This window comes from Homo sapiens, chromosome 19, assembly GCF_000001405.40.
Source record: "Homo sapiens chromosome 19, GRCh38.p14 Primary Assembly".
Lineage (NCBI taxonomy): Eukaryota > Metazoa > Chordata > Mammalia > Primates > Hominidae > Homo > Homo sapiens.
The window spans coordinates 22,275,171-22,301,981 of NC_000019.10; the positions used below are offsets into that span (position 1 = coordinate 22,275,171).

Here is a 26,811-nt window from a genome sequence, read left to right on the forward strand (position 1 = left end):
ATCTAATGCTGAGAAGGTTAATGACACAGACACACACACTTGGAGTGTGTTTAAAGAGCAGAAAGTTTAATAGATGAAAGAAAGAAGAAAGAGAGGGAGAGAGAGAGCTTTCTCATGCAGAGAAAGTGGGGCACCCAAGGTTTCCAGGATGCAATTGACTTTTAAAAGAGGCTTGAAGAGGGGGTGATTGATTTACATAGGGTTCAAAAGATTGGTTTGACCGGGTGTACCATTTACATAACCTGCAAAAAAACTTGCCTTCCCACCCCAATCTTTTATTATGCAAATGTGGCCTCTACCTGGCTGGATCCATGACAACTGCACACGAGGGGACAAAGAAAAGGAAGGGGGAATTGCCATATTGGGTGGACCTGGCTTTCAGTACAGCTGCCCACGTTCATCTATGCAGGGTTCTAGCTTGCTTATCTATGCTTGTAGCTTGACTTTTCAGGCTGCTTTATGTTAGAAAAGAGATGGTTTTTGGCTGATTTCTATTAAAGAAAAATTTCACTGAGAACATTTTTACACTTGCTAAGTGACTAAAATAATTTCCTAATAACTGCTATATTACTGGTACCATTTCTTCTGGAACTATTCCAAAGAATTAAAAAGGAGAGACTCTCCTCCCTTCTCGTTTTATGAGGCCAGCATCACCCTGATGCCAAAACCTGGCAGAGACACAACAAAAAAAGAAAACTTCAGGCCAATATCTCTGAAGAACATTGATGTGAATATCCTCAATAAAATACTGGCAAACCAAATCCAGCAGCACATCAAAAAGCTTATCCACTACAAACTAGTCGGCCTCATCACTGGGATGCAAAACTCATTTAACATACACAAATCAATAAATGTAAGCTATCACATAAACAGAACCAATGACAAAAACCACATGATTATCTCAATAGATGCAGTAAAAGTCTTCAGTAAGGGCTGGGCATGATGGCTCACGTCTGTAATCCTAGCAATTTGGGAAGCCGAAATGGGTGGATCATGAGGTCAGGAGTTCGAGACCAGCCTGACCAATATGGTGAAACCCCATCTCTACTGAGAATACAAACATTAGCCAGGGGTGGTGGTGTGCACCTGTAATCCTGGTTACTTGGGAGGCTGAGGCAGGAGAATCACTTGAACCCAGGAGGTGGAGGTTGTGGTGAGCTGAGATTGTGCCACTGCACTTTAGCCTGGGTGACAGAGCAAGACTCCCTCTCAAAAAAATAAAATAATAATACTAATAATAAAGTCTTCAATAAAATTTAACATTCCTTGGCTGGGCGCGGTGGCTCACACCTGTAATCCCGTAATCCCAGCACTTTGGGAGGCTGGGGCAGGTGGATCACGAGGTCAGGAGTTTGAGACCAGTCTGATCAACATGGTGAAACCCCATCTCTACTAAAAATACAAAAATTAGCCAGGCATGGCGGTGGGGGCCTGTAATCCCAGCTACTCTGGAGGCTACTCTGAGGCTGATGCAAGAGAATCCCTTGAACCCAAAAAGCAGAGGTTGCAGTGGGTTGAGACCATGCCACTGCATTCCAGCCTGGGTAACAGAGTGAGACTCTGTCTCAAACAAACAAACAAAATTCAACATCCCTTCATGTTAACAACTCTCAATAAACTAAGTATTGAAAAATCATACCTCAAAATAATAAGAGCTATTTATGACAAACCCGCAGCCAATATCATACTGAATGGGCAAAACCTGGAAGAATTCTGGAAAATCAGCACTAGACAAAATGCCCTCTCTCACCACTCCTATTCAACGTAGTATTTTAAGTTCTGACCAGAAAAATCAGGTCAAAGAAAGAAATAAAGGGTATTCAAATAGGAAGAGAGGAAGTCACATTGTCTCTGCAGATGACATGATGCTATATCTAGAAAATCCCATTGTCTCAGCCCAAAAGCTCCTTAAGCTAATAAGCAACTTCAGCAAAGTCTCTAGATACAAAATCAATGTGGAAAAATCACAAGTACCAACAATAAACAAGCAGATTGTGAAATCATGCATGAACTCCCATTCACAATTGCTACAAAGAAAATAAAATACCTAGGAATACAGCTAACAAGGGATGTGAAGGACCTCTTCAAAAAGGACTACAAACTACTGCTCAAAGAAATAAGAGAGGACAAAAACAAATGGAAAAAATTTCATCCTCATGGATAGGAAGAAGCAATATTATGAAAATGGCTGTACTTCCCAAAGTAATTTATACATTCAGTGCTATTCCCATCAAACTACCACTGATGTTCTTCACAGAACTAGGAAAAACTACTTTAATATTCATGTGGAACCAAAAAAGAGCCTGTATAGCCAAGAAAATTCTAAGTGAAAAGAACAACGCTAGAGGCATCATGCTACTTGACTTCAAACTATACAACAAGGCTATAGTAACCAAAGCAGCATGGTACTGGTAAAAAGAAAAACAGACACATTGACCAGTGAAACAAAATAGAGACCTCAGAAATAAGACCACACGTCTACAACCATGTGGTATTTGACAAACCTGATAGAAACAAGCAATGGGGAAAATATTCCCTATTTAATAAATGATGCTGGAAAAAAATAAAGTCAGAAAAACTAACCTTCTCTCTTTCTGGTCATATTATCTATATCTTATTTAGTCATTTTTATTTATTTCAATTGCTTTCAATTTTAGTATTTGCTTTGGAAATTACTTTTTTAATATGTATAACATTTTCTTGGAGTCTATTTATGGACATCAATGCTATTTTTCATATTTTGATATACAAAATAAAACATCAATGTGGATGTGATGGCACCTGCCTGTAATTCCAGCATTTTGGGAGGCTAAGGTGGGAGGATTACTTTAGCTCAGGAGTTCGAGACCAGCCTGGTCTACATAGTGTGACCTCACCTCTAAAAATAACAGTAATAAATTAGCTGAGCATGGTAGCACATGAGTGGGGTCCCAGATACTCAGAAGGCTGAGATGAGAAAACTGCTTGAGCCCAGATGGTTGAGGCTGCAGTGAGCTGCAGTCATGCCACTGCATTCCTGCCTGGCTGAGAGAGAATCTTTCTTAAAAGAAAGAAAGAAAAAGAAGGCCAAGGTAGGTGGATTACTTGAGGTTAGGAGTTTGAGACCAGCCTGGCCAACATGACAAAACCCTGTTTCTGCTAAAAATACAAAAATTAGCTGGGCATGGTGGCATTTGCCTGTAACACCAGGTTCTCGGTAGGCTGAGGCATGAGAATCGCTTGAACTCGAAAGGCAGATGTTGCAGCGAGTGGAGATTGTGCCATAGGACTCCAGCCTGGGCAGCAGAGCAACACCTTGTCTCAGAAAAAAAGAAAAGAAAGAAAGAAAGAAAAAGAAAACCACAGAGAATAAACTATAATTTTTTTTTAATGTTTGTAAAGCTCTAATTGCATAGCAGATTTCTGGAAGTCAGTTTCCAGAATCCAAGGCTAATCCCTAAGCATTTTATACATTTCTTTCTGCATTGATTATAAAATTCAGGTTTCCCAACAGAAATGGAAAAAAATAAAGCATGAATAACAATGAGATAGCACACAATTATGATAATGGCAATCATGAAAAGAAAAATTTCAAAGACCGTCAATGAAAATTTGGATTAAATAGATCTAGAAATATGAAATGGTAGAGTAGCTTTGGAAAATAGTTTAGTGGCTTATTATAAAGTTGAGTATACACTTATTATGTTACCAAGACATCCCACTGCTAGGTCATTACTAAAGTAAACTGAAAACTAATGCTGAAATGAAACTTTTTATGGATGTCTATTGCTCACTTTATTTGTAATTGCAAAAAGCTAGATGTAAACTAGATGCTTTTCAACAGGTGAATGAATAAACAAACCAGTGCATACCTACAATAGAATCCTAGTTGTCAATAAAAAAAAAAACTATTGATCGACATCACAGTATAGATGAGTCACAAATGCATTTCTTTAATTGAAGAAAGTAAAATCCAGTTTACAGATTATATAATCCAAGTATATGGCATTGTAGAAAAATAAAATTATAAGGATTGATAATAATCAGTCCAGGCTTGATGGCTCAAGTGTATAATCTCAGCACTTTGGGAGGCTGAGGTGAGAGGACTGTTTGAGCCCAGGATTTTGAGAACAGACTGGGCAACATAGAAAGACCTTCCTACAAAAGAAGAAGAATAAAAAGAGAATAATCACTGATTGCCAAAGAATAGATGAGGGTAGACTTAACTACAAATAGGAGGCATCGGATAATTTTGGGGGCAATGAAACAGTTCTGTGTGGTACTGTGAAGATGGCTATGTGACTCTAGACAGTTTTCAAAACCTATGGAACTGTACATCACAAAGAATAAATTTTCCTCTCTGAAAATTAGAAAAAACAAGGATTGGGGGAAAATTCAGATAAAATGCAGGGAGTAAAAAGAAGAGTTCACCCTTACTAGAAATGTATCACCTAACCCTATTGAAGAAGGTTGGAATGAAAGGACTTGGTGTAAATCACTTTGAATAACACTATTTTGATTAAATACTGCAAGACTCAAGAACTGAACACAAACATTGTGTTCTGGTATGTATTGCTTGTCTATAAGCATATAGACTAGCAATTTTTAAAAGCACTCTATATGTTAGTATGTATATATATATATATATATATACATAAATAAATATAATTAGTGCCTGCATCTCTCTGAAGTTGAAAAAAAAGAGAATTCTAGAATGGAGTTGAGAATATTTTGATAAATGCATGTATCATAACATATCTATTGAGAGAGACAGAAAGAGAGAGATGTGTTCATACAGGAGTCAATATTAATATGTACCTTTCCAAACTCTGTTTGCTGAGAGGTTGCAGAAGCAGTGACACCCCAATATTAATGGGCACACCTAGCTCTCATATCATGGTTTCTAAGTACTATTCTTCAACAAAAAAAGCAAGACTACTTGTAATAATAGACAATTCTAGCACTGGAGTGGAAAATCCAAGTTAAGGTAGAGTATTGTTAAGCTAAAAAGTTTAAAGTGCTTTATGAACAACAGAAGCAGCCATGTCAGAGAAAGTCAACCTGAAAGACTTCCCAGGAGCCCAAGCTGGAAAAATGTGAAAAACACAATAAACATTATTAGCATTGGATTAACACCCAGAGAATTAAAAAAAAATCCATGAATCCATAAAGATAGAGAAAAATACAAATAAGAAAAAAAGAAGGCCAGTCGCCGTGGTTCATGCCTGTAATCTCAGCACTTTGGGAGGCTAAGGAGGGTGGATCACCTGAGGTTGGGAGTTCAAGACCAGCCTGACCAACTTGAATAAACCCCGTCTCTACCAAAAATGCAAAATTAGCCGGGCGTGGTGGTGTATGCCTGTAATCCCACCTACTTGGGAGTCTGAGGCAGGAGAATCATTTGAACCTGGGAGGTGGAGGTTGCAGTGAGCTGAGATCACGACATTAAACTCCAGCCTGGACAACAAGAATGAAATTCCATCTCAAAAAGAGAAAGAGAGAAAGAGAAAGAGAAAGAAAGAAAGAAAGAAAGAAAGAAAGAAAGAAAGAAAGAAAGAAAGAAAGCAGTAGAAAAAAGAAAAAAATTTTCTTTAGAAAATTCCAAGTATACTAATCAATGTAGAAGATAATGCAAAATAGAAAATCACCACTAAGACACCACAGTAATAATTACTGTAGACAAGATGTACTTAAAAATGCAAACATTGTGGATAAAATTTAAAGGAGAAACAGTGTTTCTGTTAGCCCCAAAGTATCTGCCTCAAATATTTATAAATAGCCCCAAAGTAATAGCCCCAAAGTATCTACCTCCAAATATTTATAAATACTATTTCCTCTCAATTTCTTTATAAGACTTATGACTAAGGAAAAATTATAACACAGTATTGTGAGATATATGTGTAGATGTAAAATATATGAATAGCACAAACAATAGAAGGAAGTAATTGTAACTCTTCAACAGCAAGGTTTTCATATTTTACATTTATTAAAATAGTACAGTATAAACTCTAGGTAGATTGTGATATGTTACAAATGCATATAGTTATCCCTGGAGAAACCACTAAGAAATGTAAGGAGGTGTCACTTAAATGCTATTAAAGGAATTTAATTATATACCAAAAAGTATTTGTACAAGAATGTTTATAGAGCTTTTAGTCATAATAGCTTAAAGCAGGGAACAGCCTAAATATCCATCGCTAGAAATATAGATGAACAAATTATATCTCATTCATACAAGAGAATACCACCCAGCCATAGAAAAAAATGAACTACTAAATCACACAACCTGGATATATCTCATAAACCTGCCAGATAAGACAAGCTTGAAATAAAATAATACGTATTGTATGATGTCAAGCAAAATGAACCAATGATTAAAAAGAAAAACACCTCTGGTAGAGAATAAAATCATCTGGAAAAAAGCATGAGGAAATTATCTGATAATTTTTTAAAAATCCATTATTCTGTGGAGTCACTCATGCTAAATGTGATATAAACTAAAAATGTAAGGAAATAGGTGATCCTAAAGCAGTTCGGGTTTTGTTTTCTTCTGTAAACAGCAGATTTTAACACAAGGAGTTCCTTTCTACTGTAATTCTTTTTAAAAATAATAACCTGAAGTCCTTGTTTTTACTTTACAAAACCCACAGTTCTGCTATTTCACAGTGGGATTTGAGACTAAATAAGTATACTTTTGATGGTAACTGATGCTATCAATGTCTAAAGTTTGGGTCTGTCTCTCAAAATTGGGAAGATGACCAAAAAGGAGAAATTATTAAATCAATTATAGCCTAAAGCTGCCTTCTTTTCTGTTTAATTTTTGTCAATAGGTTCTCTGTACATAGCAAACTGAAACCTAACTTGATATGTAAATAGACTGTAACCCACTCTTGTACCAACTACTGTGTTTTTGGCAATAAAAGGACATCAGCTGTTTAAACCATGTTCGAGTAAGGCAAATCTCGAGCTGTAATCAATCTGGCTGTTTCTGTATCTCACCCCCATTTTCTGTATGTCACTTTGCTTTTTCTGTCCATAAATCTTTTTCCACCATGTGGCTATGCTGCAGTCTCTCTGAGCCTACTCTGGCTCCACAGGCTGCCCAATTTGCAAATCATTCTTTGCCCATTTAAACTCTTTAAATTTAATTTTTCTACAGTATTTTCATTTTAAAAGTTTTCCATTTTATTCTATGATGAAAAATAAATAATCTGTTGTTGGCATTTGATTTTCTAAACTTATCCATCACCTACAAATATAAAGTATTCTTTGTCTTTTTAAAATCCTTCTGCAATTTCTTTCTTTCTTTTTCTTTCTTTTTTTCTGAGACAAGGTCTTACTCTATCACCCAGGCTGGAGTGCAGTGGTGTATCCAAACATGGCTCACTGCAGCTTGACCTTCCAGGCTGAAGTGATCCTTCTGCTTCTGCATCTGCCACCTGAGTAGCTGGGGTTACAGGCATGCACCACCATGTCTGGCTAATTTTTAAATTTTTATTCATGAAGACAGATTCTTACTATGTTGGCTGAACTTGAACTCGAGCTCACGTTATTCTCCCATGTCAGCCTCCCAAAATGCTAGGATTACAGGTGTGAGCCACTGTGCACTTCTGCAAATTCTTGACAGGATTATTCCCAATGATAAACAGTACTATATTGGCACAAATGTAAAAGGAATGTAGGCTGGCTGCAGTGGCTCACGCTAGTAATCCCAGAACCCTGGGAGGCCGAGGCAGGCAGATTACTTGAGGTCAGGAGTTTGAGATCAGCCTGGCCAACATGGTGAAACCTGTCTTTACTAAAAATACAAAAATGAGTCAGGTGTGATGGCAAGCACCTGAAATCCCAGCTACTTGAAAGGCTGTGGCAGGAGAATTAATTGAACATGGGAGGAGGATGTTACACTGAGCCAAAATTACACTACTGCACTCCGGCCTGGGTGACAGAGTGAGACCCCATCTCAAAAGAAGTTAAATAGATTAATAAAACTAAAATAAAAGGAATCTGGCCTCTATCGTAGAAGTGTCACTCTCCAGGATTTCAAGGGTCTAGGGCAGCTACTTTAGTAGTGTCATCTATGGAGGTGGATGGGCTTTGGAGTCTGACAGAGTTGATCCTGAGTCTCAGCCCAGCCACTTAGTAGCTGTGTGTCTTTGGACAAGATTCTTGATGTGAAAGAGTTCTATAAACCACATATGCAAAATAAAAAAAAAAAAAGCAGAATGACACTGATTTCAAAAATGGTAGCAATTTCTAGTTTTTTCTGTATCCATGCCCATTGCCAGGTGCTTTTAAAGCTGTTCCCATCAAGATCCAGGATGTTTTCCAAACCCTAGATTTTGCTGGCCTTATTCACTCAGGGCAGTAGAAACCTGTGAACATGACAATGTAACAGTTTGAGGCCTAGGCTCATGTGGGGAAAAGCAAGAGAGATCAGATTGTCACTGTGTCTGTGTAGAAAGAAATAGACATGGGAGACTCCATTTTGTTATGTACTAAGAAAAATTCTTCTGCCTTGAGAGTCTGTGACCTTACCCCCAACCCCGTGCTCTCTGAAACATGTGCTGTGTCAAACTCAGGGTTAAATGGATTAAGGGCGGTGCAAGATGTGCTTTGTTAAACAGATGCTTGGAGTCATCACCACTCCCTAATCTCAAGTACCCAGGGACACAAACACTGCGGAAGGCCGCAGGGACCTCTGCCTAGGAAAGCCAGGTATTGTCCAAGGTTTCTCCCCATGTGATAGTCTGAAATATGGCCTCGTGGGAAGGGAAAGACCTGACCATCCCCCAGCCCGACACCCGTAAAGGGTCTGTGCTGAGGAGGATTAGTACAAGAGGAAGGCACGCCTCTTGCAGTTGAGACAAGAGGAAGGCATCTGTCTCCTGCCCGTCCCTGGGCAATGGAATGTCTCGGTATAAAACCCGATTGTACATTCCATCTACTGAGATAGGGAAAAACCACCTTAGGGCTGGAGGTGGGACATGCGGGCAGCAATACTGCTTTGTAAAGCATTGAGATGTTTATGTGTATGCATATCTAAAAGCACAGCACTTAATCCTTTACCTTGTCTATGATGCAAAGACCTTTGTTCACGTGTTTGTCTGCTGACCCTCTCCCCACAATTGTCTTGTGACCCTGACACATCCCCCTCTCGGAGAAACACCCACGAATGATCAATAAATACTAAGGGAACTCAGAGGCTGGCGGGATCCTCCATATGCTGAACACTGGTTCCCCGGGTCCCCTTATTTCTTTCTCTATACTTTGTCTCTGTGTCTTTTTCTTTCCTAAGTCTCTCATTCCACCTTACGAGAAACACCCACAGGTGTGGAGGGGCAACCCACCCCTTCAGCTCAAAAGGTCTTGAATGCTTCTGTTTTTCTTTCAGAATGCTACCATTTCCATGAAAAATGGCCGATGTTAGCAAGCTGGAGGATAAGATACCATGGGGAGGAGAAGCAAGGTGCCCCTGTTGACAGCCCCAGAAGCAGAAGCTCATCCCCAGAAGCACAGCTGCCTATTCAACAAACAGCTGAAGATACATGTCTGGAGGAGCTCAGCTGAGACAAAAAGAACAGCCTCACTGAGCCCAGCCTAAATAGCTGACCATCTCAATTATGGGCAAATAAGTTTTGAATGATTTGTTATGCTGCAATAGCTAATTAATACATGCACCCAGTGCAGACAGGATGCCAGGATTCATTGACAAGTTGATTACTAGTTCTCTTCTAACAGTGGGCACCCTATAGGTACTGATTTTTCCCCCTGATTTGAAGTTGGATGCCAAGTAAGAGAATGCTGAGTAATGCAGAAATATATATGGATATGTATGCATGTAATTGGTGCCTATACTCACACAGTCCCCCATACCACAGGAGAAAACAGATAACCACGGCCTGACATTAGGGCCAAGGACAAATAGAAAAGTAAGTTTGCCTTTAATCTGTTTTCTTCATATCTAAACATTGGAGGTCAAGACTGTGCACAGGTTTGAAGACATAGAGATTTCTTCTCCTGTGGCCTTATCATCCTTTGTTCACCTTCTGATCTCTGGAAGAAAGGTGGAAAATGGGTGGCCAGCAGTGGTCTACCTGTGGTTGTTTTTTTCTTGCTGTCCTCTGATTTTTCTATGGCTACTATCTGTTCCTCCCTCAGAGCTGAAGAGAAATGTTGGTAGGGAAAGGCTCTTTTTTCAGCTTTGGCAGAAAAGTTTTTTCAGGCCCTTCGCTCCCGAGGTCAGAGCTGCACTTCAATGTGGCAGCTACTGGCCATGTGTGGCGACTGAGTGCCTGGAATGTGGCTGGTCTAAACTGTGATATGCTGGAAAGGTAAAATACAGAGTTAGTTTCAAAGATGAAGTTCCAAAAAATATCTACACTTCATTTATAATTTACATTTTGCTTACATATTAAAATGATAATATTTTGGATATACTGGTTTAATTAAATTGCTACAATAAATACCGCATTTTTTGTTTGTTTTTCTTTTTAAAGTTTGGCTACTAGAAAATTTAAAATTCACATGTAGCTCACATTTTATTTCAGAGGATTGCCTTCTTTTTAAAATCTCAGGCAATCTGATGGAAAAAACAGAAGTCAGGGAGGTCATAAAATCAGAAATTTTTAGATAATTTTTATTATATTCTTTTCATTTGTGTATAACCATATAATACATTATTTACGAAAGAATATGACCTTATACAAAAGGTTAAATGCAAATACCCTCTGGGGTTGGCCTGGCTTACTTAGCTCAGGGAAGAAGCCCTGCCTGAAAAGGCTGCAGCCTAGACTGTCACTCTTTACTTTTTTTTGGGGGGGGGGGCGGGGGACAGACTGTCTCTCTGTCAACCAGGCTGGAGTGCAGTGGTGCGATCTCGGCTCACTGCAACCTCTGCCTCCCGAGTTCAAGTGATTCTCGTGCCTCAGCCTCCGGAGTAGCTGGGATTACAGGCGCCCGCCACCACGCCTGGCTAATTTTTATTTTTAGTAGAGACGAGGTTTTGCCATGTTGTCCAGGCTGGTCTCCAACTCCTGACCTCTGGTGATCCACCCGCTTGGGCTTCCCTCCCAAAGTGCTGGGATTGCAGGCGCGAGCCACCGCGCGGCCTATCAGTCTTCATTCTGTCCAGCATCTGATCACATCTTTTGTCACTCAGGATCTGAGGAGGCGGGGATTTAAGAATTATCCAATCAGGGACTCTGGGCTAGGAACCGTCCAATCAGGCATGCAGCTGGAGCGGAAAAGGCGGCATCCGAGATGTGGCGGGGCCGTTGTTTCTGGTTGCAGCCGCAGTTCCCGGTCTCGCCTTCACTGCTGTGTGTCCTCAGCCTCTGTGGCCCTGTAACCTGCGGCATTGGAAGATCCACAGCTAACATGCCAGGTGCCCCTGGCAGCCTAGAAATGGTGAGAGTGCCGGGTCCGACATCCCGAGAAGGGGAAGGGGCTGATTGGAACCGGTGGGAAGTGGCTGTGGCGGGACTCCGGCCTCCCCGCAGTCAGCTCCACAATCTGCGCCTGGAGTTCTTTCCCATCTCGGCCTCAGTCTCCTTCAGCCATAAGATGGCGAATGCGCTGACTGCGGGACCCTGGGCGACCTGTCTCCTCCATGCGCTGTGACTGTGCCCTGGCCTGGAGCCCTCTCTGGGCCGCTCTGCACCCGCATGGCCGCGTCTCTCCGAGATTGTGCAGGGACCACGGGAGGGGCGTCAGGGGAGAATCCTGACTCCGGATGCGGGTTCATGAATGGGAAGAGCTTTGGTCCAGTGAGGTTTCCAGTCCCTCTTTTCTTCTGTTAAAAATTTATGGCGGTCACCACTAAAGTAATAAATAATTTAATCAAAGTGATTCAAAAATTGTAGAGCACCCAGCTATGGTTTGTAGTTTATGGTCTATGGAAGGGATTTGACGGAAAGATTTTTTTAAGGTGCACAATGAAGAAAACCAAATTCAGTAATTGGTTATGTACAGTTACGTAGTTTCTCAGTTTGTACAATCAAGATGGAAATTTCCCGTTTATATAATCAGAGGTTAATTGTAGTTTATAGTTGGTTAAGCCTGAGTTTTGTTTCCCCCAATGTATAATTTACAAAAAAAAAAATGCACTTGAATTAGATTTTTTTTTTTCTTTTTTTGAGACGGAGTTTTGCTCTTGTTGCCCAGGCTGGAGTGCAATAGCGCGATCTCCTCTCGGTGCAACCTCCGCCTCCCGGGTTCAAGCGATTCTCCTACCTCAGCTTCCTGAGTAGCTGGGATTACAGGCATGTGCCACCACGCCGGGCTAATTTTGTATTTTTAGTAGAGACGGGGGTTTCTCCATTTTGGTCAGGCTGGTCTCGAACTCCCGACCTCAGGTGATCCGTCCTCCTCGGCCTCCTAAAGTGCTGGGTTTACAGGTGTGAGCCGCTGCGCTCGGCCGAATTAGATTTTTTAAAAAGTAGATATCAGGGACTAGAGCCACCTCAGTCTAATTGCCTGCCACTTAATTATTCTTAATTATTTTCACACTCCTCGGAGGACTGATTTTTTTTTTTTTCCCTTGCATTTTTTACAGGTATCCCAAGGAGAGTATTATGTGTACTCCCAAACCCCCATTCCTGCAGCCTATCTCTGGCTTGCAGTAAAATATAAAATTTCCAGTTCATTGTTACCTTCCCAAATGTCAATTTTTTCCTCTCTGATTCACATTACTATTTGTCCTTTTTTTTTTTTTTTGAGATGGAGTCTCGCTCTGTTGCCCAACCTGGAGTGTGGTGTCCTGATCTTGGCTCACCACAACCTCCGCCTTCCGGGTTCAAGCAATTCTCCTGCCTCAACCTCCTGAGTAGCTGGGACTACAGGCATGTGCCACCATGCCTGGCTACTTTTTGTATTTTTAGTAGAGACAGAGTTTCACTATGTTGGCCAGGCTGGTCTCGAACTCCTGACCTTGTGATCTGCTCGCCTCAGCTTCCCAAAGTGCTGGGATTACAGGCGTGAGTCACCGTGCCCAGCCTACTATTTGTCCTTTAGTGTACATTTTTGATACCATGTTTTAATTATTTTTTAACAAAGCATTGGATGGCACTTTTCCTAATATTTGTTTTCTGTTTGTAAATATTTCCTATGAGAAGAAAGCAAAAAATTATCCCCTGACACTGCGTTGTAAAAAGTCTTTGTACTGTTTTTTTTTTTTTTTTTCCTCCTAGGCCCACAGATTTTATCAGAATGTTTCGGGGGTAAATGTTTTCCTTTGGAAACTTTATGGAGTGATGTGTTTTCAGCCATTCTTCAGATTTTTTTCCTGGTCCTGGGTTTCAGTACTGTCTGGGAATTAACTAAAATACCCCCCATGGCTATGTCTGCTAGAGTGTCTAGTGAATATCAGCTCCTGGTCATTTTCTCCCATGGGACAATCTGAGGTATGGAGTGTAGCCTTTCAGGGAAGCAGGCGGATGCCCTGGAATTGAGAGGAATCTCCTGGCATACTCTTCCTTTGAAAAGCTAACCCTTGAGACATTAAGATTGTCTTCACCCAACCCAGCTTCCAATTATTGAAGACCCAACCCAGCTTCCATTTCTTGCTGGTCAGCCAATCAGTTGCTGGTATTGCGGGAAAAAGCATTGAAATAATTTCTGCCCCCTGCATTCTCTAAGGGGGCAAAACAATAGGGAAAGAAATATAATGAAAAAATAGTGAAAGAAAAATAGTGCGAATCTTTGAAATCAAAAATAATATCCCAAAAGAAAAAAAAACAGTGATCCAGTGAGATGGTGTAAGAACTTGCAAAGTAAAATACATCTGGGGCACTCACTGGGGCTTAATTCAGAGTCTCCTGAGAAGGGGTTATTGGGCACTTAAGTGAGCAGAATGGAGTGGGAGAATCTCTCAAGTGATTGGATGGCCTGATTGAAACATGAGTCAGACACATCTGTACCTTGAAAAGATTTGGTCGCTTATTTTGACCTCAGTTTTTTAACTGTGAATTGCATTTTGTTAGTAGGGATTGAAAGAAAGATAAGAAAATATTTACCAAGGGCAAAAAAGAGATGGATTTCAGAATAAAATTAATATTTAATTATATATTCCATTTGTTAATTTTTTTTTTTTTTTTTGAGACCAAGTCTCACTCTGTCGCCCAGACTGGAGTGCAGTGGCGCAATCTCTGCTCACTGCAACCTCCATCTCCCAGGTTCAAGTGATTCTTCTGCCTCAGCCTCCTGACTAGCTGGGACTACAGGCGCCCGCCACCACACCCGGCTAATTTTTTGTATTTTTAATAGAGATGGGGTTTCACCGTGTTAGCCAGGATGGTCTCGATCTCCTGACCTTATGATCCACCCGCCTCAGCCTCCCAAAGTGCTGGTATTACAGGTGTGAGCCACTGCGCCCGGCAAAAATTTGTATTTACCCTTTTCTCAGAATGAGTTTAGGAATTTTCTCTGGTTTGTTTTTTATGGCTGGGTGTTTTTAAACAATTTCAAGGCTTAACTTTTAGAATGCTACCAGGGAAAAAAATAGGAAAAATCTCTCTTCCATTTTGGCTTCAGAAAATGCACACATTTCCACAAGAAAATATGGTAGGTAATTGGTGAGTTATGTAGATTCATGAAAACATCAGTTCCTCTTTTTGCAGGGTAAATTTGTAACCGTGAATATCTCTATTCTATATCCTGTTATATTGCTGTCTGAGTTTCATGCTAAATTTTATGAGCTGAAACTTTGTACCCTCTAGAAGTGTTCCCATATGACTGTTTACTACATGATTTTTAATGGAAATAGTAAAATAATATTTATTGTCTGAAAGGAATAGATACTTTTGCTTATCTTACTGAGACATAAAATGTAAGCACCTTAAAATTTTCTTCCCTTACATGTACACTGTGTTAGAGTAATTCTGCTGAATTTTTCAAACACTTACTTTCAAAAACCACATGAATAACTCTGACATGAAAATTAAAGCCTGAGCCTAGTGACTCTAAGCTAAGGCTAATACTGAGCCTGCAAAAGGAAGTTATTAAAGGACCACTTAGTTTTTTCTGGGGAGTCTTCTCTGCAGATATTCCAGCCTGCTCACCCCAGCCATGGAAGACGCCTTTATCCTGAGAGAAACTACATAGCCTTGGAAAGTTGGGGACCCACAGCCAGATGCAGTTAAGGTTAAGATGAAAGGGGATTGGGAGGGTCTTACTGAAGATGAAATTGTTATTGTTTTGTGGTAGTTTCTAGACTTTGTAAAGTAAAACAAAGTTAGATTTATGTTGGAAAAAGAATTGAATTCCAAAAGAGTATTGCAAGAGGACGAAGTACCAACTCTGAGATCTTCAAGGATTGCAAAGTTTAGGCAGACAAGGGCCTTGTTTCATATGGAAGAGCAAACAGTATTAGGAGGTGGGAGGGGATGGCAAATGGAGGGTGAAAGAATGAGATTTTAGATCAGAGAATGTTTTACCCTGAAGTCATCATGTTCTTAGGAACTACATAAAATGGGGTTGTATGTTGACTCAGACTGAGGGTAGCTTAAAGTTCAGAAAGCTGTTGAAAGGAAATAAACTTAAGTAATGTTTGATTAAGAAGTATTCTAGGTTGACCACTGAAAACAAATTCAGCTGATTTATTTATTTTTTTTAATGAGAAAAAAGAGACAGTGTGCAGAGTCTGTGTCTGGCTATGTGACAGGTAAGAAAAGAGCACCATCTAAGTCATAATGGGAAGGGTATTTCTTTCTGACTTTTCCTGGATTGTATCTTTTCTAATAAACTGATAAATGTAACTAGGTTGTTTTCCTGAGTTCTGTGAGTAGCTGTATAATATTATTGAACTTGAAGAAGGTTATGAGAGTCCCCAGTTTTTAAACGGTAGCTCAGAAACAGATGGGTCTATGGGGTTTGTGACTGGCATCTGCAGTAAGAACAATGTTGTGAGACTGAGCCCTGAATCAGGGTCTGTGCTGACTCTGGGTGGTGTCAGAATTCAAATGTTAGGCAATGAGTTGGTGTTGGAGAATTGCTTGGTGTTTACCAAGCTCTACAAATTTGGTTCCAGATAAAAGATATCACAGAGGCCTGGTCTGGAATGGATCTCTGGGTGTCTGGGAATGGGAGGCTCTGCTTTTCTCTACACAGGCCATCACACTGCCCATTATCCTGTGATTTCAGATCTCCTCCCGGGGTGAGAGAGGATAAAAACTTAGAGTAAAAAAGTTCTGATAACAGACCCCCTTTTTCCACTGCTGCCACCACAGGATTCCCACCTTCTTACAAACATATCCACTAGACATTGACTTGTCCACACCCCTCGTAGGAATAGGTACCACCCCCAGCAATTTCACTACGGCATTTTTGATCCTAGCGTTTCTTGCCAAAAACTCACAAAAGTGTCTACAAGTCTCCTGGCATATCCCAACCCCCAGACACTGAATCTGCAGCAGCAACCTGTTTTCTCCACCAACCTGGGGTTCTGGACAACCTGTTCATAATCTCATCTGCCTGCATGGACCCAGAAATTAATCAGAGTAGAGTCACACCTGGGCCACTATCTGTAGCACAAACCAGTCCTTCCACCTGCATTGCCCTCTCCCCAACCCATAAAGTTCTTTTATGTTTTGTTTTTGTTTTTGTTTTTGAGACAGTTTCATTCTTGTTGCCCAGGCTAGAGTGCAGTGGCACGATCTCGGCTCACTGCAACCTCAGCCTTCTGGTTTCAAGCAATTCTCCTGCCTCAGCCTCCTGAGAAGCTGGGACTACAGGTGGCTGCCACCACGCCCCGCTAATTTTTGTATTTTTAGTAGAGACAGAGTTTCACCGTGTTGGCCAGGATGGTCTCAAACTCCTGATCTCGTGATCCGCCCACCTCAGCCTCTCAAAGTGCTGGGATTACAGGCGTGAGCCACTGTGCCCAGCCAGCGAGTTTTTTGTTTTAACTTTTATTTTTGATTCAGGGGTACATGTGCAGGTTTGTTACATAGGTGAAATTGTGTCGGGGGGTTGGTGTGCAGATTATTTTGTCATTGAGGTATTAAGCACAGCACCACACAGGTATTATTTTTCTGATCCTCTTTGTCCTCCATCCTCCACCCTTAACTAGAACTCAGTGTCTGTTGTTCCCCTCTTTGTGTCCATGTGTTATTATTTAGCTCTTACTAATAAATGAGAACATGCATTTGGTTTTCTCTTTCTGCATTAGTTTTGTAAGGATAATGGTCTCCAGCTCCATCCATGTTGCTGCAAATGACATAATCTTGTTCACTTTTTATGGCAACACAGTATTCCATGATGTTTATGTACCATATTTTGTTTTCATTAAATCTTTTATTTTATTTATTTTTGGAGACTGGGTCTCACTCTGTCACCCAGGCTGGAGTATAGTGGCATGATCTCAGCTTACTGCAGCCTCAACCTCCTGGGCTCAAGCAATTCTTCTACCTCAGCCCCCAAGTAGCTGGGACTACAGGTGTGTGCCACCAAGCCCAGCTAATTTTTCTTGTATTTTTTGTTGAGATGGGGTTTTTCCATGTTGTTTAGGCCTGTCTTGAACTCCTGAGCTCAGGCAATTCACCTGCCTCGGCCTCCCAGAGTGCTGGAACTACAGGCATGAGCCACCACACCTTATCATACCATATTTTCTTTATTTAGTTTACCATTGATAGGCATTTAGGTTGATTCCATGTCTTTGCTATTGTGAATAGTGCCGCAATGAACATGTATGTGCAGGTGTCTTTATGACAGAATAATTTATATTTTATTGGGTATATACCCAATTATGAGGTTGTTGGGTCAAATGGTAATTCTCTTTTTAGTTCTGTGAGGAATTGCCACACTGCTTTTCACAATGGTTGAACTAATTTACACTCATGCCAGCAGCACATAGCCGTTTCTCTGAAACCTTGCCAGCATGTTATTTTTTGACTTTGTAATAACAGCCATTTTGACTGGTGTGAGATGGAATCTGGTTGTGGTTTTTTCTTTGCATTTCTCTAGTGATGAGTATTTTTTTCATATGCTTGTTAGCCACATATATATCTTATTTTGAAAAACATTTGTTCATGTTTTTTGTCTACCTTTTTTTTTATAATTGAGACGAAGTCTCACTCTGTCGCCCAGGCTAAAGTGCAGTGGCATAATCTCAGCAAACGGCAATCTTCACCTCCTGGGTTCAAGCGATTCTCCTGCCTCAGCCTCCTGAGTGGATGGAATTACAGGGACTTGCCACCATGCCCTGCTAATTTTTGTATTTTTAGTAGAGACAAGGTTTAACCTTGTTGGCCAGGCTGGTCTCAAACTCCTGACCTCAAGTGCTCTTTCCTCCTTGGCCTCCCAAGGTGCTGGGATTACAGGCGTGAGCCACCACTCCTAGCCTTTTGTCTATTTTTTTTTTTTTTTTTGAGACAGTTTCGCTCTTGTTTCCCAGGCTGGAGTGCAATGGTGTGATCTCGGCTCACTGCAACCTCCGCCTCCTGGGTTCAAGAGATTCTCCTGCCTCAGCCTCCTGAGTAGCTGGAATTATAGGTGTCCACCACCACACGTGGCTAATTTTTTGTATTTTTAGTAAAGACAGGGTTTCATCATGTTGGCCAGGCTGATCTCAAACTCCTGACCTCAGGTGATCCACCTGTCTTGGCCTCTGAGAGTGCTGGGATTACAGGCATAAGCCACGGAGCCCAGCCACCTTTTGTCTACCTTTTAAGGAGGTCGTTTGTTTGTTTCTTGTAAACTTAAGTTTTTTATGGATTCTGGATATTAGACCTTTGTCAAAAGCATAGTTTGGAAATATTTTATTTTATTCTATAGGTTTTGTGTTTACTCTGTTGATGGTTTCCATTGCTGTGAAGAAGATATTTAGTTTAATTAGGTCCCATTTGTCAATTGTTGCTGTTGCCATTACTTTTGGTATTTTCATCATAAAATCTTTGTTAGTTCCCATGTCTAGAATGGTATTTTCTAGGTTATCTTGAAGGGTTTTTTATAATTTTAAGTTTTACATTTAAGGCTTTAATTCATCTTGAGTTGATTTTTGTATATGATGTAAGGAAGGGGTCCAGTTTCAATTTTCTACACAGTGCTAGGTGTTTATCCCAGCACCATTTATTAAATAGGGAATTCTTCCCACATTCCTCTTGTTAGTTTTGTCAAAGATCAGTTGGTTATAGGCGTGTGGCATTATTTCTGGGCTCTCTATTCTGTTGCATTGGTCTGTGAGTCTGTTTCTTGTACCAGTATTATGCGGCTTTGGTTACAGTAGCCCTATTGTATAGTTTGAAGTCAGGTAATGTAACGCCTCCAGCTTTGTTCTTTTTGCTTAGGATTGCCTTGGCTACTCGGGCTCTTTTTTCCTTCCATATGAATTTTAACATAGTTTTCTATAGTTCTGTTAAGAATGTTTTTGGTAGTTTGATAAGAATAGCATTAAATCATTTCTTTTTTTGGGCATTATGGCCATTTTAATCATTTTGATCTTTTCTACCTATGAGCATAGAATAGTTTTCCATTTATTTGTGTTATCTCGGACTTTTTTTTTTTTTTTCTTTTTCTTTTTTTTTTTTTTTTTGAGTCCGAGTCTCACTCTGTCACCCAGGATGGAGTGCAATGGCACAGTCTTAGCTCACCACAACCTCTGCCTCCTGGGTTCAAGCTATTCTCCTGCCTCAGCCTCCTGAATAGCTGGGATTACAGGTGCCTACCACCATGCCCAGGTAATTTTTGTGTTTTTAGTAGAGATGGAGTTTTACTGTGTTGGCCAGGCTGGTTTCGATCTCCTGACCTCAAATGACCCACCCGGCTCGGCTTCCCAAAGTGCTGAGATTACAGGCATGAGCTACCGTGCCTGGCCGTCTGTGACTCTTTAAGCAGTGTTTTGTGATTCTTGACATAGAGATCTTTCACTTCTCTGGTTAGGTGTACTCCTAGATATTTGTGTGTGTGTGTGTGTGTGTGTGTGTGTGTGTGTCAGTTGTGAAGGGGATTGTGTTTTTGATTTGGCTTTTGGCTTGCATGTTGTTAATATACAGAGATTCTGCCAATTTTTATACATTTATTTTGTATTCTGAAATTTTGCTGAAGTGATTTGTCAGTTTAAAGAGCTTTTCTGCAGAGACTGTAGGGTTTTCTAGATACAGAATTATGTCATCTGCAAACAGGGATAGTTTGACTTCCTTTCTTCCTGTTTGAATGCCTTTCATTTTATCTCTTGTCTGATTGCTCTGGCCAGGACTTCCAATTCTCTTAAATAGGAGCGGTGAGAGAAGGTATGCCAGTTTTCTTTCTTTTTTTTTTTTTTTTTTGAGACAGAGTCGCTCTGTCGCCCAGGCTGGAGTGCAGTGGTGCAATCTTCTCCGCTCACTGCAAGCTCCGCCTCCCGTGTTCACGCCATTCTCCTGCCTCAGCCTCCCGAGTAGCTGGGACTACAGGCGACTACAGGCGCGCACCACTACGCCCGGCTGATTTTTTGTATTTTTACTGGAGACGGGGTTTCACCGTGTTAGCCAGGATGGTCTCGATCTCCTGACCTCGTGATCCGCCCGTCTCGGCCTCCCAAAGTGCTAGGATTACAGGCGTGAGCCACCGCGCCCAGTCGATATGCCAGTTTTCAAAGATAAACGCTTTCAGCTTGTATCCATTCAGTATGTTTACTTTGGGCTTGTCATAGATAACTCATTATTTTGAAGTGTGTACTTTGAATGCCTAGTTTGTTGAGGATTTTAAACATGAAGGCTGATAAATTTTATTGAAATCTTTTTCTGCATCTATTGAGATAATTTTTTTGGTTTTTATCTTTAATTCTCTTTATGTGATGAATAACATTTATTAATTGTTGCATGTTGAACCAACCTTGCATCTCAGGGATAAAGCCTACTTGATCATAGTGGAGTAGCTTCTTGATGTGCTGCTGGATTTGGTTTGCCAGCATTTTGTTGAGGATTTTTTCATCAATGTTTATCAGGAATATTGGCCTGAAGTTTTCTATTTTTTGTTTCATCTCTGCCAGGTTTTGGCATCAGAATGTTGCTGTTTCTATATAACGAGCTAAGGAGGAGTCCCTTCTTCTCAATTTTGGAATAGTTTTAGTAGAATGGTTCAGGCCCTTCGTTTTACGTCTGGTTGAATTCAGCTGTAAATTTGTCTAATCCTGGGCTTTATTTTGGATGGTAGGCTATTTATTACTTATTCAATTTTGGAATTTGTTATTGGTCTATTCAGGAATTTAGTTTCTTTTTTGTTCAGTCTTTGGAGAATGTATTTGTCTAGAAATTTATGTATTTCTATTAGGTTTTTTAGTTTGTGTGCAGACAGGTGTTCATAGTAGACTTCAATAGTTATTTGTATTTTTATGGGGTCAGTGATAATTTCTCTTTTGTCATTAACTGTTTATTTGAATCTTCTCTTTATTCTTCATTAATCTAGCTATTTACCTTATTTATTTATTTCAAAGATTTATCTCGGATTTCTTGTTCTTTTGTATAGTTTTTCATATCTAAATCTTCAGTTCTGATCTTATTTATTTATTTTTTTTGTCTGCTGATAGCTTAGGAGTTGCTTTGCTCTTGCTTCTCTCGTTCTTTTATTTATGATGTTAGGTTGTTAAATTGAGATGTTTTTGATGTGACCATTTAATGCTATTAATTTCCCTGTTAACACTGCCTTAGCTGTGTTGCAGAGATTCTGGTATGTTGTATCTTTGTTTCAAAAACTTTTAAATTTCCACCTTAATTTTATTATTTACCCAAAAGTCATTCAAGTGCAGGTTAATTTCCATGTGATTGTATGGTTTCAAGTGGTTTTCTATGTATTGAATTGTAATTTTGTCAAGCTGTGGTCTTTGTGATTGGTATGGTTTGAGGATTTTTGAATTTGCTGGGGATTGTTTTATTTCTGATTGTATAGTCAATTTGAGAGTATGTGCCATGTGGTGATGAGAAGAATGTATATTATGATGTTTTTAGATGGAGAGTTCTGTAGATGTCTACTAGGACTCTGGTCAAGTGCTGAATTTAGGTTTAAATATTTTTGTTTATTTTCTGCCTCAATAATCTGTCTAATAGTATCTGTGAGGTCTTTTAGCCTTCTACTATTGTGTCAGAATCTACATCTCTTCTTAGGTCTCTAAGAACTTGTTTTATTTATGTGTACCAATACATTTTTTATAACACCTTTTTCTCTTCTGTTTTTTTTTTTTCCCATAAGCATATTTTCAAGTGCACACAGTGTGCCCAAGGATACTCCTTAGATTTTGAGTGTCTGCTGAAATTCAGATGTCCAAGAATTTAAGAATATATCAAAAGACCTGGCTTTTGTAGGAGAAAATACAAATTAGAAATAAGAGGATTTATTCTCCTATAGGAAAATAAGAAAATATATTTTGCTTATCTTTTTTAAAGCATTTAGATTTTATGTAGATATTTTTCTCTACTTTTTTGAAATATATATAAATCATATTAAAACAAAATGAACCTCTTATTATTCTTTGTGACTCAGGATTCTTTTTATTTAGATTCATTGCTTTGTTTTTGCTTTGGTGTAGATATATATATATATATATATGGTCTTTAAAGGAGACAAAGATTTGTTTAGATTAAAGCTCATATTAAGAACACGTAAGGCTGGGCGCAGTGGCTCATGCCTATAATCCCAGCACTTTGGGAGGCCGAGGCGGGCGGATCACCTGAGGTCAGGAATTTGAGACCAGTCTGACCAACATGGAGAAACTCCGTCTCTACTAAAAATACAAAAAATTAGCTCGGCATGGTTGTGCATGCCTGTAATCTCAGCTACTCGGGAGGCTGAGGCCAGAGAATTGCTTGAACCCAGGAGGTGGAGGTTGCAGTGAGCCGAGATCACCCCATCGCACTCTGGCCTGGGTAACAAAAGCGAAACTCCATCTCAAAAAAAAAAAAAAAAAAAAAACACAAAACATTGAGCACAAAGATAGGATGAAATTTAGCAATACAGAATGATAAAAGCTGAAAGATACTGAGTACATTTCTTTGACAGAAAACCGATTATACAAGGTATTAGCATAGTTACGTGTAGTGTTTGTAGACAACCTGCATTCATATAAATTAAACAGCATTTTCTTCAGTAGTATGAATATAAGGCCAAAACATTTACTTTGACTGAATACTCATTAAATAGTCATTTTAATATTGCTGTTCATACTTTTGAAACATATAAAGTATATATACATATAAAAAATATAGTGTTTTAACTGAATTATGGCTACAGACAATTTAAAAAATTCTTACATGCCTTATATCTAATACATTAGTTATTTATACTTAGATATTTATTTCTAATATCCAAATAAAATTTACTACCAAATTGCTAAAGTAGATATTAGTCTGACATGTTTATTAACTTATCTAATAGGGATAACTATAGGTAAGCATAATTACAGTGTCTTCTTTTTTGAGACAGAGTTTCGCTCTTGTCACCCCGGCTGGAGTGCAATGGCATGGTCTCGGCTCACTACATCCTCCACCTCCTGGGCTCAGGTGATTCTCCTGCCTCAGCCTCCCTAGTAGCTGGGATTACAGACACCCACCACCATGCCTGGCTAATTTTTGTATTTTTAGTAGAGACGGGGTTTCACCGTGTTGTGCAGGCTGGTCTCAAACTCCTGAGCCCAGGAAGTTTGCCCACCTTGGCCTTCCAAAGTGCTGGGATTACAGGCATGAGCCACCATGCCCAGCCTATTTATAGCGTCTTTCATTTCACTATGTTGGAATGCTGCTATTACAGGAGAAATAAACACAGATGATGTGGCCACCGCAAAACCATAATAGCTCTTTAGTTAGCTATGTGGCAAGCTTAAATACATTCCACTATATGAACAAAGTCAGATTATACATCTTCATCAAAAGTGCTGGTGGAAATTGTGAGATGTATTTCAATATATAACCCCCCATTCAATGGCTAGGAGATGAGAGAGCAGCAGAGATGGAAGAGAAATCTTATAAAATTCTGCTGAGAATATATCCCTTTTCTTCATAATGCTCATGTTTCTCATGCTGAGAGTAGCTGTGCACTTTGGTTGTTTAGAGAGAAATTCCTTTTAAGAGAATATTTTCTGGCTGACTTGATCAATCTTATATCTAAATTGAGTTTTTGTTTGTTTGTTTGTTTTTGAGATAGAATCTCACTCTGTCACCCAGGCTGGAGTGCAGTGGCGCAATCTCGACTCACTACAACTTCCACTTCCCAGGTTCAAGTGATTTTCCTGCCTCAGCCTCCCGAGTAGCTGGGACTACAGGCTTGTGCCACCAAGCCTGGCTAATTTTTTATATTTTTAGTAGAGATGGAGTTTCACCGTGTTAGCCAGGATGGTCTCGATCTCCTGACCTCATGATCCACCTGCCTTGGCCTCTTAAAGTGCTGGGATTACAGGCGTGAGCCACCATGCCCGGCCTAAACTGAGTTTTTACTTAAAATGCATTTAACTTTTTTTTTTCTCTAAGCATAATCTTGCTCAGACTGAGAGCTGTTTTTCTGTCCAATGCTTTGGGTGTCTGCACTATTAAATATTCCCTGTTGTCTGTGAATGAGGTGGGCTGTCACAGTGAGAAATTTTGGAGCTATCTGTACTTGGACTTAATGTTGGAAATCCAGCAGTAGTTTTTCCATGTCACATTGTAAATAAAAACTGAGGCTGAATTACTGTTCCAATGTCCATTAATGTAAAGGTGCAGTTCTCCCCAGGAGGCCTGCAGGCTCTCCTCCTGCAGCTCAGGCTTCCCTCTCTGGGGTGACACTGGAGTGCTGCTGTGGCAGTTGTGGTTTATGTAAGATGTGAGCTTTCAGATGTGAGCCCTGTGCAGTGTGCTCTGCCTCAATGGCAGATGGTAGTGGTCAAGAGAGGACACTAGCTAACGGAGAGGGCAAGCAGGAGAGATGTAGCCAAGTGCTCAGGGAGTAGAGAGCCATTGCTTTAAAGTGTAAATAGCCAAAAAGATAGCACTCTATTCAACCATTTTTGTAGGAGATTGAGAGCCTACCTTCAGCAGGCACCTGGATTCAAGTTGCAAAATTACCTCCTTTCATGAAGATGTGAAAAGTTTATTTTGTCATTGAACATAACTGATTAGCCTGCATGGCTAGCCTTCCCAATTACCAGGTGAATTTAGGATGAACTGTGTATGACATGGTGCTATACATTTTTCTACTTGTGAACTAATTACGGTTACTGTCTTTCTATCTTTTCAGTCTCTTAAGCAGATTGACTGTGATGCATGTCACATTCAGGTTTAATTGTGTAATAAAACAGTTTTATGTCTGTTCTATTGTGGAGTTTCTCTGGGGCTGAAGAAAATTTATCTTTTAATTATGTTTCACAAAAACTGTCTAGAATTATCAGACATGATATATAAATATAAGGTGCCACCCAAGCTTTACTCTAGAGGAAACTTTCCCTCTCAGGCTATCAGTCAATTCACAATTGTGCTGCAAAGTGCATACTGTCCCCTAAATATGCAGGCAGAATTGCTTCTCTGCCAATTTGGTATCTTTAATCCTCCACAGTAACTTTTAGAGAAGCTAGATCAGAATTCTACAAACTTCACAGGGCAGCAATCAACCATTTTATGTTTTTCAGTGACTCTTGTATCTTCCGAACTGAAACTGATTCACAGACTATGGGGCCCAGAAACCCAATCAGAGTAACATATGTGCATTGAGTAGACATGTACACTTGGGAATCTGTACTTCCTTTTTCTTCATCTTGCTAAAATGCCCACAAATGTGCAGGGAAAACCTGCTGCTATCCCATCCATTCAGAACCTAAAACTGCAACTTCAAATTCTGAATCCAGGTCTTCAGATTTGAGAAAAAAGAAAAACTTTCTTTCTGAGAGATGCAAGTCCTTTTGGTTGTCCAACTTATAGAGACATTAAAATGAGAGCAGAATTATGTTTCTCTTTTTGTTTTTTGAACTATGTATTCATCTTTTGAAGCTGTTTGCTATTGCCACAAGTAGCTATATATTAATAATGCACACTGGACACTATAACTTGTACCGTAAAACTTAATGGTGTATATCCAATCAATAATCAATGTTATTCCTGTAAATAATAAAAATTTCTGACAAACAACTTTGTATCAACCCACTCTCTGTCCATCTTTTTTAGCCTTTACAAATCAACTTGTAATCACACTGCTAATCAAGTGTATGTTGCGGGCAACTTGAATATTTGCTCCCAGGTTACAGTCCTCAAGCTTGGCCCAAATAAACTGTCAACTTAAATCTATATTTTCTCAGCTTTTTCGTTTTAGGTAGACATATTTAGAATGTGCCAGAGTAGTGTCTATGATGAGATCTCTCCTTTGATTGTACTCTGTTTGCTGTAACACCCAAGGAGGCAGAGTCTGGTTGATCCCACCTGGAATCTGCACATAAGATCTGGCCTCTGCCTAAGATTTACAAGACAGGGCCAAACTTTGAATTGAGAGTATGCAGAAAACCAGCAGAAGACATTTTCTGTATTGTGAGATGTCAACGTAGAGATCTTAAATCTTTTCTTTGAGACTGTGGCTCTGTGAGATTTTCAGATCTTTTCCAGTGACCTGTTACAGGTATGTGAGAGACTCCAGGTATAAATAAAATCTGATGACAGAATCTGTAAGTATAAACAGGCATCTTAGGAGTGAGAGATCAAGGCCACAGAGTAACCAGAGCCATGACTACAACTATACCTACCTGTAAAATGTGATACTGGAGTAGAGTATTGTTATTTCTCTTACCCAAGAGCTAGCAAATCAGAAGAGGTGATCTAGATTCTGGAGCTTAACCAGGGCGGTTCCATTTTCTATTTATAACCAGCCTGAGTCTCTTCTGCCTGGCTCATCATTGGGTCATTAGCCCAGAGT

General features: G+C 39.9%; 1 protein-coding gene and 1 pseudogene across 1 annotated transcript in view; one reads left to right on the forward strand and one right to left on the reverse strand.

Moving 5' to 3' along the window:
• Nucleotides 1-11,270: 11,270 nt before the first annotated feature.
• The window catches only part of ZNF729 (zinc finger protein 729), a 30,736-nt gene continuing 15,195 nt past the window's right edge, over nt 11,271-26,811 (forward strand). The window contains exon 1 of the mRNA NM_001242680.2: nt 11,271-11,385. Coding sequence (NP_001229609.1) covers nt 11,356-11,385 — 30 coding nt within the window. The 5' untranslated portion in view covers nt 11,271-11,355. The remainder of the gene's footprint in view (nt 11,386-26,811) is intronic.
• Nucleotides 23,807-24,698, reverse strand: BNIP3P31 (BCL2 interacting protein 3 pseudogene 31; annotated as a pseudogene).